Source organism: Homo sapiens, chromosome 2, assembly GCF_000001405.40.
Source record: "Homo sapiens chromosome 2, GRCh38.p14 Primary Assembly".
NCBI lineage: Eukaryota > Metazoa > Chordata > Mammalia > Primates > Hominidae > Homo > Homo sapiens.
The window spans coordinates 42,070,438-42,082,752 of record NC_000002.12 but is presented as its reverse complement, the minus strand read 5'-3'; positions in this window follow the sequence as shown (position 1 = coordinate 42,082,752).

Sequence of the window (12,315 nt, the reverse complement as noted above, 5' to 3'; positions counted from 1 at the left end):
CATACCTCAAGAAGTGAGGTTTCTAAAGCACAAAGTTCAAAAGTCACAAAAGGAAAGTTTGATATATTTAATTACATAAGAATTAAAAATTTCTACATGGCAAAGTGCTTTAAATGAAGTGAAAAGACAAGGACAGATTGGGGAAAACATTTGCTACACAAATGACAGAGGATTAATTTCCTAAATACATAAAGAGCTTTTATACTGCAGAAAGAAAAAATAACAGCTAATGGAAAAATGGTCAAAGGATATGAATAGACAGTTCACAGGAAAAAATGCAAATGGTCATTAAACATATGAAAAAAATAATAACTTATATAGAGCTTTATGTTTGTTTATACATTTAATTTTCACAATAACTATATGAAAAATGTTATTCTTCTGATATCTTTTTACTGATAAGGAACCAAAACCATAGAGAAGTTAAGTGCATTGCCCACAGTCACTCAACTAATAAGCAGTTGGGTAGGGATTTGAGCCCAGGGACCAGTTTGTTCTCTCAAGCACTTCCTGTTCACACTCATCTATTCTACAAGACATCCAGGACAGGTGTGGTGACTCGTGCCTGTAATCCCAGCACTTTGGGAGGCAAGGATTGCTTGAGGCCAGTAGTTCAAGACTAGCTTGAGCAACATAGGGAGATCTTGTCTCTACAAAAAATAAAAAAAATTAGCTGGGTGTGGTGGTGCACGCCTGTAGTACCAGCTACTTAGGAAGCTGAAGCTGCAGTGAGCAGTGATTGCGCTGCTGAACTCCAGCATCAGTGACAAAATGAAACTCTGACTCAAACATAAATCCAAAACAAAACAAAAATCCCAAAGAAAGAAAGAAAAGGATTAAAACTACACCAAAACACCATTCTTTATAAAAATCACATTGGCAAAAAGCAAAATGTTTGGTGGAAGGTTGATAAAACTGTTGAGGAAACCAAGACTCACATATTGTTGGTACAAGTGAACTGGAACACCATTTTGTAGGGCAATTTGGCAATATTTATCAAGATTTTATTTTATTTATTCTAAGAGACGGGGTTTTGCTCTGTTGCCCAGGCTGGAGTCCTGTGGTATGATCATATCTCACTGAATCCTCTAACTCCTGGGATGTCTCGCTATGTTGCCCAGGCTGGTCAAGATTTTAAATACAAATTTGCTTTAACCTAGAAATTTCATTTCTAACATTTTTATAACAGACGTACAAAAATATCTATATTTCTAACAGATATATTTATTGTAGCATGTTTGTAATAGCAAAAGACTAGAAACAAGCTAAGTGTCCATCACTAGGGGACCTGATGTATAGATTACAGTTCCTAAAGCTGATAGGAAGAATAAGGCTGATCTGTATGTATGCTATGAGCAACCTCTAAGATATATTGTTAGGTGAAAAAGGCAAGGAGGGAGGCTTGGCGCAGTGGCTCACGCCTGTAATCCCAGCTCTTTGGGAGGCCGAGGTGGGTGAATCATTTGAGGTCAGGAGTTTGAGACCAGTCTGACCAACATGGTGAAACCCCATCTCCACTAAAAATACAAAAATTAACTGGGTATGTTGGCACATGCCTGTAGTCCCAGTTACTTGGGAGGCTGATGTGGGAGAATCGCTTGAACCTGGGAGGTGGAGGTTGCAGTGAGCCGAGATTATACCATTGCACTCCAGTCTGGGCAACAGAGCAAGATTGTCTCAAAAAAAAAAAAAAAAAAAGCAAGGAGGGGAACAGGGTGTGGAGTGTACCCCACCTCAGCCTCTCCATATATGCTGGCAAGGGGACAGTGTCTGCCTCTGGAGAACAGAGTCAGATGCTTAGGTTAGGAGCCAGAGGGAACTACTAGTTTTTTGACTGTATATGCTTTGTTATTGTTGAATTTTTTTAAAACATATTCAAGAATTACCTTTTCAAAAATAAAAATGTATAGTAAGATAGTAAGATAAAACATAGTACTAGTTGGAACAACCACCACAAAGAAATAACATGATTGCCATTATTCATCCAAAGGGCCAGCTTGTTGATCCACTTGTCACGGTGGGAAAGAGCAGTGAGCTGTGTTGGGGGGTTGCTCACAGAGCTGAAGGGCAGGGAGCCAGGGCCTGGGGGCTCAGTGAACTTTACCAGGGAAGAGATATCTTGCCAGGTGCTCATTATGTTAAGATAGGCAACACACAACTTCATTTGTTTCTATTTTTAAAAATTGTTTCATTTATTAGAATTTATCTCCCTCCTCATTAAAAATAAAAACCTAAAACTCAAGTTCTTTTTGAAAAATGCTAATCTGTTTCAGGTAAACTCAGGAGAAAAGGATTTTTTGCCCATGCCTGGGTAGAGCAGCGCAGCAAGGGTGGGAGCCAGGGAGCCAGCATGCCCGGCAGGGACGGCTCTTCCTCACCCTGCCATGTTCCTTCCCAAGACCTACTGTGTGTGCTGCTCATAAGCACGTTCTCTTTTCAAGGTTCTCTCTTGATATTCTCTAGGTGACTTCTGGAGGGTCTGAAATAGGTTGAAGAAGATGGAGTGGGATGAGAGACACGGGGGAGGACACTTTAGGATGGAATGTGGAGACTTTTGGGATAGGAGAGAAGGAGGGAGAAGAAAAAGCAATGGAAAGAAGGCCAGAGTGGCTGCAACCCAGAAAACAAAGACGGGACAAAAACAAGACTAGAAGAGTGTGTTTTATAAACAGCAGTGCAAAGACCATCCTTGTGGATTTCTCATTTTGTGGTGCACTTGTCTAGTTCTTTTCCTTCTTCCTTCCTTCCTTTTCTTTTTCTCTCTCCCTCCTTTCCCTTTCTCTCTTTCTTTCTCTCTTCTTCCCTTCCTCCCCCTGCTTCCTTCCTCCCTTCCTTTCTCTCTCTCTTTCACTTTTTTAGAGATGGAATCTTGCTCTGTCACCCAGGCTGGACTGTAGTGGTGCAATCACAGCTCACTGCAGCCTCTAACTCCCAGGGCTCAAGTAACGCTACCACCTTACCCTTCCAAGTAGCCAGGACTACAGGTGCACACCACCATACCCAGTTAATTTAAAGTTTTTTGTTTTTTGTAGAGACATGGTCTTGCTATGTTGCCCAGACGGATCACAAACTTCTGGCCTCCCACAGTGTTGGTATTACAGTTGGGAGCTGCTGCACCCAGTTTGATTCTTTAGAATATGTTTTTAGACGTTGAATGGCTAGGTCAAAGGTTATACACATTTAACATTTTGCTACATGTCCCCAAACTGCACCCCAGTAAGATTTTATCAATCTCACCCAGGCAGTGTGTGAGGCTCCCCCTTCCCCCACAGCTCTTGCCAGTCATTTGAGAAAGATTTCGAGACAGAGGGATGGGAATTTGAGGGCGATGATATCAAACATTCTTCTTCTCAATAAGGTAAGAGGCAAGATCCTAGCCAGAGTTCAGAATGAGGGGCGCAGTGGTAAGATTGGGGCTGGAGGAGAGTGGTGAAGGCAAGAAGAATCAAGATGGCGGGACTCGGTGCAGCTGCTCTAGCAAACACGAAGCGACATTAAGAACATGGGAAATCTGAGGATGGTTTACCACATTGTGTTTTCTTTAATTGTTTGTTCTTTAGGATTATTTCCATTGCTTTGTGGCTGCTTTAATGAGGAATTCTATTTTTTCACTTTAGAAAGGGAATCGGGTGGAAAATTTTATTTAATGATACAAACATTAATTGAGTACCTAGTATGTGTCAATGAGAGTCATGCATGCAAAAAGGAGTTAGACTTGTGCCCTGCTCCCAAAATGCTCCAGTCTCATAACAGAGACCATCAGTAATAATTACGGTGCAGTGCAACATGGAGAACAATAGAAAGAAGAAAAGTTCACAGACAAAACACCGAGGAAAGAGTAACTACCTCTAAGATGTTGAGTAGTTTTATCAGGAAAGGCTTGGTGGAGAGGGTAAGTCCAAGGCCCGGTTTTAAGGGTGCACAGGAGGTGCTTGCATGCCTAGTCTATCAGTAAATATGATAAGGCATGAAAAGCCCTAAGTGGGTGCCTGTCACCTAGCGAGCACTCGGTCTGTGTCCCAACTGGTGTGTGTTCAACCATCTTCCAGCCTGTGAGTGGTGAGTGAGGGTTTGAGCTGGGGATTGAGGGTCCAGTTTCTTTTTCCTGAGGATCCAGGTGTCCTGGGATGTTGTGGGGCTGGATGGGGGTAACTTGGTTGGGGAGAGAGCTGCTGAGGGAGGAAGAGCTACTAGTGGGCCCTCCAAGAAAGGCAACCATGGAGTCCCTGGGTACTGGCGAAGGCCGGTGCCCAGAGTTCTGGGTGGCAGCAGTGCCTTTTGCTGCCCCTTCTTTATCCCACCTGCATGAGCCCTTCATATTGGGGCTGTAGCCTCTCTCTGCCCTGCACCTTCTTCCTGTCTCTCCTCCACTCACCATTTCCTAGGACTCCTGACTGTTTGGTTTTGGTGGGGGTGTATAGGAAGAGTGGAGAGAAGCCCTGCCCACACTCAAGATGTTTCTCCTAAACATTTAATCTTGTCCAGACATCAAAGCTTGTATTTTCCTTTTTTTCTCCATCACATCCCTCCCTTGAGGCAGACAGTGTAGAACAATCTAGCTGCTTGAATATAAGTTTGCGATGGAGTGGGGTAGGGTGGAGGGCTGGGAGGATAGAAGGAAGTTTGGGGTAGAAAAAAATTGGTCATTATCTCAAAAATGCTTCCTGCTACATTGGAGTTATTGGCCTGGAGACCACCACCCATCTGGTAGCTGAATATGCTGCTTGCAAGTAATATGGTAAATGAGAATAGCTTAGGCACCTATCTTGCAACCAGGGTGTCTAAAGTGGCATTTATATTCACAAACAAAAGTAAGGATCAAGCTATGCAGATGAATCGTGGCCCGTGGCCCAAGTCCCACTGTATCCTTTTGTTTTCCCACAGGACAGTGGGGGCAGTTGGTGGGAGATGCAGGCTCAGGACCCCCTGTGGTTGTACAGCCCAGCCTCAATGCCTTGGATCTCTGGTCACTTAGTTTTGCCCGCACGGTCACCCACTTCCTACAGAGGCAAATTAGGTGGTGGAGCTTGTGTTATAAGGAACGGGGCCAGGTGGTCAGGAACATCGTAGGAAGAGGGTGCATATTAGCCTGGGGTTTTGGACCCCTCTTTTCCCAGCTGGGGAGATGGGGAGTCCTCTTCCTGACCAAACTCCAGCTTTCAGCAGCCTCAGGCTGTGCACTGACTTGGGTTCCTCCTCTAGGGGCTGCCCATGTCATGGGTTTCAGGGCTGGGCTTTAGGTGGGAAAGGATGTTGTGACCAGCAACTGGGAGAGGGATTCCTGGGGCACAGGAGGATTTCTGGGAGGCAAAGACTGAGGAGAGAGAGAGAATAGGGGTTGCAACAAGTTGCCAAGCAGAAAGGAGGGCTGATGAAAGTTACAAAGCCTGATAATCTTCCATCCTCAGAACTTTTCATCTGTAGCACAGAATTTAATCAGATGTTTAAAGATCCCAGAGAAACAAATGAACAAACCCAAGAGTAGAGAACAGAATTAGAGGACAGGTGCAGTGTCTGCATTATTATGACAGTAAAGACAGATATTCAAACTGGCTGTGAGATTGGTTTTGGAATTCTATTATGTTGCTATGGGTAAAGAGGCCCATTTCCTGAGATAGGAAAGGTAGGAATGGGGTGGGAGGAAGTGGTCATGAATCTCTGGAGACAGCAGTATCCGCATCCTTATTAGCCAGGAAGATGCAGGTTGAAACCAGATGGCAGATATTTCATCACAAACAGCATCTGTCAGAGACAGGGCATGTTGTGGGGTAGGGGCCCACGTGTCTGGTGCCAGCATGTCAGGCCAGCGAGCAGCTTTTCTTGAGCTGCTAGTGTGTGCTCAGCCATTATTGTGGTGTCACCCAACTCAGGACATTCACATCGTATCCTAAGTGAATGCCACTCCTTGAAGCACGTCTCAGTTATTTATTGTTACATGGGCAAACCACCACAAAACTTCATGGTTTAAAACAATTTATTCTTATTTTTCATGGTTCTGTGGGTTGACTGGGCTCAGCCGGTTGGTTCTCACTTGGGTTCTCTCATGTTGATAAAGTCAGATGTCAGCTGGGCTGCAGTCCTACAAGGGCTTAAGGAGGCTAGATGATCAAGGTGTTCCATTCACCTGACTGGCTGATGCTGGATGTCCATGTGGGGCTCAGCCGGGGTTGTTGACTTACATGTGGTTTTTCCATGTGCCTTGGGTTTCTCACAGCACGACGGGTTCTGAGAGGGAGTGTCCCAAAAGCAAACATTCCAAGAGGTCCAGGCAGAACCTGCAGGGTTTCTTGTGACTTAGTCTTGGATGTACAAGGATATTGTTTCCATTGAATTCCATTTGTCCAGTTCAGATTCGAGGGAAGGAAATTAGACTCTACCTCTTTCTCTTTTTCTTTTTCTTTCTTTCTTCCTTCCTTCCTTCCTTCCTTCCTTCCTTCCTTCCTTTCTTTCTTTCTTTCTTTCTTTCTTTCTTTCTTTCTTTCTTTCTTTCTTCTTTCTTTCCCTTCCTTCCTTCCTTCCTTCTTTCCATCTTTCTTTTTTTTTTTGAGACAGAGTCTCGCTCTTTTACTCAGGCTGGAGTGCAGTGGCATGATCTTGGCTCACTGCAACCTCTGTCTCCTGGGCTCAAGCAATCCTCCCACCTCAGCCTCCCAAGTAGCTGGGACCACAGGTGCATGCCACTATGCCCGGCATGTTTTGTATTTTTTGTAGAGACGGGGTTTCGCCATGTTGCCCAGGCTGGTGTCAAACTCCTGGGCTCAAGTGATCCACCTGCCTCGGCCTCCCAAAATGTTGGCATTACAGGCGTGAGCCACTGCACCCAGCCCAGACTCCACATCTTGGTGTAGGAGTAGCATGTGGGCACAGAGAGGTGAGGAATTGATGGTGGTATCTTTGGAAGCAAGCTACCACACACACCACCTAGGACCAGGGCTGGCTCCATTGTTTTGCAACCTGTGCAGTTGCACATGGCCCTGGGCTTGGAAGGGTCTTGCACTTGGCTTAATGCTGTATGGCCACCATCTTGAAGTTTTTAACAATGTTTAATAAGGAGCCTGTATTTTCATTTTACACTGGACCCCACCAATTGTGTAGCAAGCCCTGCACAGGACTTACCGTGAAGGTACTGCTTGGATTTGTGCAGCGTGATGAGGGGAGGGCATCTGCAGAACTCTGCACTATACAGATCTGACTCCTGCCTATGGAGAACTTACAGAGCAGCTGAAGAAACAAGACTTACTTGAAACACTGAAACTAGTAAATGCCAGTATCTGGGCAGGGGTTAGGCTGTGATTGCCCAAGGAGGGCGAAGACAGGGTGGGAAGAATCCTCCATTTTGCATGCTCTCTTGGAGTCATATTCAGATTCTGAACCCGTGCTGGGCTCAAAGCCTTCCTTCTCTGGGGCCAGAAAAGCTTCCAGGAATCTTAGAAATGTCTTTTTCCTCTCCCCACCCTACCTCTTCCCTTACCCTTGTTCCCAGGATTCTTCAGCTGGGGGCCTTGAAGGGAGGGGCTTCCAATATCAGGACTGGCTCCTGGGGTGGCTAGGGGGAAAAGGGAGTGTGGGGTGCCTGGGAAGAGTGTAAGAATGTAAGTGGAGCTTGCAGGAGCTCCATGCACGCTCAGGCCAAAAGTCTCAGGTGAGACACTGGAAGAGACCTGAAGGAAGCTGGGCCACATGTGGCCTTGGTGTGGGGGAGCACATGGAGGGGTGGGAGGAGGAAGCTCTCTGGTCTTCTCCAAGGAACATGCTGAGTGCTCTGGTGTCCTGAACAATGCCTCCCACATGGTCCGCAGCCAGATACCTCACCATTCCCCAAGGCACAGGGCATGCCTTCTTCCATTGTAGGAAATGACTCAAAGAGCCCCCTAGTGCCTGGGCTCAGCCCAGCCCCTAACCAGGGGGTGAAGACAGTCCCTGAGGGACGCACCACTTGTTTACAGACAATGCCTGGTTTCCTTCAAAGGTCTCATCCTACTGTGTTGAGCCTGCAAAATAATCTTCTGATTGTGCACATTAACAGGACATACTTTTCCACCAGAGACAGCTGACCCATTTCCAATTTTGTGAGACTGAGAGGGTGAAGGAGGATGCTGCTCCCTGGGGAGCTGGCTCTAGTATTTCTCAAAAACAGAGACACTTGCAAGTGGTTCATACAAGGCCCCATAGATAGTCATTCTTGGCTGTGCTGGCAATTGCCTGTTTGCTCTCAGATTGGTTCCTTGCCCCTCCAGGATTCCTCTGCAGGAACTACATTTCCCAGGCTCCTTGCCCATGGCTTCCAGGGTGAGTTAAACCAATGTGGGGTCCTGGCAGGAGACTTTAAGGCAGTAGGAGGGGGAAAGTTAGGATGTTCATTTCTCTTTGCTGCTCTCTGCTTCCTGTGGTGTCTTTGGCAGAATCTGGGTTTCTTCATGGTTCCAGCTCACAACACATGTTGCCTCTCTCTTTGGTTGCCAGTTCCCACTGGGCAGCCTTGGCTTTGGGCTCTGGTAACCCCACTTCCTCTCTTTCCTCACCCCCTCCAGCCTGAGGGCAGAAGTGTCTCCCTGCTGCTTCTCACCTCTGGATTGGTTCATCATCCCATATGTGGCTTTTCTTTTTTGTTAATTCACCTATGTAACCTCTTCTCTCTATTACATTTCCTGCTGGGAAGATCTAAACTAATCTAAATTGTTGGTCATTCTGCTTTTTGCGTATCCAGGAAGGCCTGGAGGTCAGGGAAGTTCTGTGACTCTGGTTACTCCATCCCTAACTCCAAATAGATTCCATGGAATTCAGCTCCAGCTGGATCCATATGCTATGCACATGAGTAACCGTATTCTAAAGCCAACAGCAAACTGAGAAGGCAGCCTGGCCTGCTCCCAGCAAGCCCAAGTCACTTCAGACCATTTTGCTAGGGAGGTAGAAGAACAGCCAGAGCAGGGTGGACAATGTGGTTGACATGCCAAGAGGTTGGGGTAAGGGGTGATCTAGTGACTACAGTCTGCCCTTATGGGGCACCCCAATATGGTGTCTATTCTCATTGCTCACACCCTTAAGTTTTGGAGGCCAGTGATTAAGAGCACGCATGTGTGACTTGGGAAACCATAAAAATGTGTGTGAAGCTTAGGAGCTAATGTACATGTACAAGCGAGGCTTAGCATCTTATGGAGATGAATATAGGTTCATTTCCTCTGTGAAGATGTGAGTTTAGAATAGATAAGCTTGAGCCTGGCTCCCAAGGTCACCCAGTCTCCAAGACAAAGTCTTCTGGGGTCATTGGCATGACAGAGGCCCAGAATGGAGTCTATGGAGGGGGTTGTTAGCCAAGCCTAAGGAGACATGTGGGAGATGAACCCAAGTTAGGGGCTATGGGGACCCTCACCTTCCTTCCTCAATTGAGGGAGTCTAGCCCTCTCTAGCCACGTCCCCTCCTGCAGACTGCTCCTTCCATTGGGGCACAGAGCAGAAGCCTAGGGACCTGTCACTTACCAGATGACTGTTGGAGGGCTGTTTAGGTTCTGATAGAGTGGGCTTTTCATTTTGAGAGTTGATTCTATTTCTTCATCAGTAAGTAGGAGCTAGGGAAGAGAAAGCATGCAAAAGGGCAAGAATCAGGAGAATTGATATAGTAGCTGGACAGAACTCTAGATGTGTGTGTGTGAGAGAAAGAGAGGCAGGGAGAAGGAGGGAGGAGTTACCCCCACGATGACCTCCAACTTCCCTTTCTGCACCCTCATCCTGGGGATAGCACAGGCTCAGGCCTGCCCTGGTTGCCCTGGCGATTGGCCTGGCCTGGGCTCAGGGGTGGGGGAGGGGCTGCACCACATTAGGACCTGCCGTACTCCAATCCCATGCAGTCCTCCTGCTCCTGCTGCTGCGTGCCTGGGCTCTGGTCATGCCAGGCTTCCTTGTGTCCTGCGTCTGTGGCCGGTTCCTGCCAACCTGTCTAGTCCTTTCAGGCTTGAGGCCCTGCATTGCTCTTTCTGGTCCTCTCCCCTCCTTCCCGCTCCCCATCTAGCCTTTTTTGGGTTCCGGGATCTGCTGACAGACTTTCTTCTTGCTGCCTGCCTGCTTACATTTCAGAAGACCCCTCTGGAACTGCCCATGGCTGTGGTCCACCTGCTGGTAGCAACGCCCTGTTACCAAATGCTAGATAATCTGCCACTCCCCTCTGCAGCCGCCAACTGGTGCTGAGCTGCCACCTGTTGTCTGTTTCCACACCCTTGTACACTGCATTCTGCCTGTCACTCTGGACAGCTGCCCAGCAGCTGCAGCTGAGGCCGTCCTGCCAGCACCTACCGCAGCCCCATGGGTGGTCCTGTCCAGTTCCTGGCGCTCCCAGCCTGCCTCATCTGCTGTACTTACAGAGCCACATCTGGTTGAATACAGAGCTGGGGTAGCCTGGATGGGCCCATGGCACACTCACTCCCAGAGAGGCGGGCATCCTCTCTCTGGACCTCTAGGGAAGGGCAGGGTCTGGAGCCCAATAATAAAACACAGTAATGATAATCATAGCTAATGTTTACTGAGAACTTAGGATGTGATAGGCTCAATGATTTACCAGAATTACTCTATACTGCATAACTACCCTATCAGGTAAGTACTATTAATATCCCCTTTCCCACATGAAGAAACTAAGGCTAAACAATAGAAATGAACCTGTGTAATGTCCCATGGGCATAATTCATGGAGCCAGGATTCAGAACCAGGTGCTTTACTTCAGGGCTGAAGCTCATAACCACTAGACCAAAGCGCCTCCTCCGTGACCTCTGGGGAAGGCCCAGCAACATCCTCTATTGCGTCCAATGACTTCTCCCTGGTCTGAGATCCACTGACTCACAGGGGTAGGGTTAAGGTTAAGGCCAGAGTCTCAGCTAAGCTTTGGATACTTTCTTCTGGATTTGGAGAAGGCTGGAATAACTGAATTTCTGCTCATCTTCAGGAGCGGCCTACTAGAGCCACACATTTCCCAGCTCTCCTTGTGTGTTTCCCAGACCCTTCTTCCATCGTGTCCTCTCCCTTAGGCTCCTGGAAAGTTTTCAGAGAGAATCACCCAGTGGTAACATTGTTAAACAAAACAGGAAAATGGGACTTGTGTGTATATATGATTAAATTATTAATTGATGGATCTACCTTCTTAGAAGGGTCAAAGACTGAATGAACAGAGAAGAAGAAAGGAGAGGGTCCCCTGGAGGTGGCAAAAGTCTTTTTTTTTTTTTTTTGAGATGGAGTCTTGCTCTGTTGCCCAGGCTGGAGTGCAGTGGTGTGATCTCAGCTCACTGCAAGCTGCACCTCCTGGATTCACACCATTCTCCTGCCTCAGCCTCCCGAGAAGCTGGGACTACAGGCGCCTCCCACCACGCCTGGCTAATTTTTTTGTATTTTTAGTAGAGATGGGGTTTCACTGTGTTAGCCAGGATGGTCTCGATCTCCTGACCTCGTGATCCACCCGCCTCAGCCTCCCAAAGTGTTGGGATTGAGCCACCGTGCCCAGCTGGCAAAAGTCGTTTTTGTTTATTATTTTATTTATTTATTTATTTATTTATTTATTTATTTATTTATCTATTTGAGACGGAGTCTCACTCTGTCGCCCAGGCTGGAGTGCAGTGGCGTGATCTCCGCTCACTACAAGCTCTGCCTCCCGGGTTCATGCCATTCTCCTGCATCAGCCTCCCAAGTAGCTGGGACTACAGATGCCCACCACCATGCCCGACTAATTTTTTGTATTTTTAGAAGAGACAGGATTTCACCATGTTAGCCAGGATGGTCTTAATCTCCTGACCTCGTGATCCACCCGCCTCAGCCTCCCAAAGTGCTGGGATTACAAGCATGAGCCACCGCACCCAGCCTATTTTTTATATTTTTTGAGATGGAGTCTTACTCTGTTGCCCAGGCTGGGGTGCAGTGGCATGATCTTGGCTCACTGCAACCTCTGCCTCCCGGGTTCAAGTGATTCTCCTGCCTCAGCCTACTGAATAGCTGGGATTACAGGCACCTGCCACCACGCCTGGCTAATTTTTGTGTTTTTGGTAGTGACAGGGTTTCCAGGCTGGTCTTGAACTTCTGACCTCAGGTGATCCACCCATCTCGGCCTCCCAAAGTGCTGGGATTACAGGTGTGAGCCAACACGCCCGGCCAAAAGTCTTTAAGGAAAAGAGGGAGGGGCTTTTTGGAAGAGGCAGTGGTGCAGATCACCTTGGCTTTAGCCCTGCCTCAAAGCAGCTATGGGGAGAGGAAAAGGAAGGATACGTGCTGGATTGGGGGTACTTCAGTTTCTAACAGAATAATTACATACAGGTGCTCCTTGACTCATGACATGATTACATC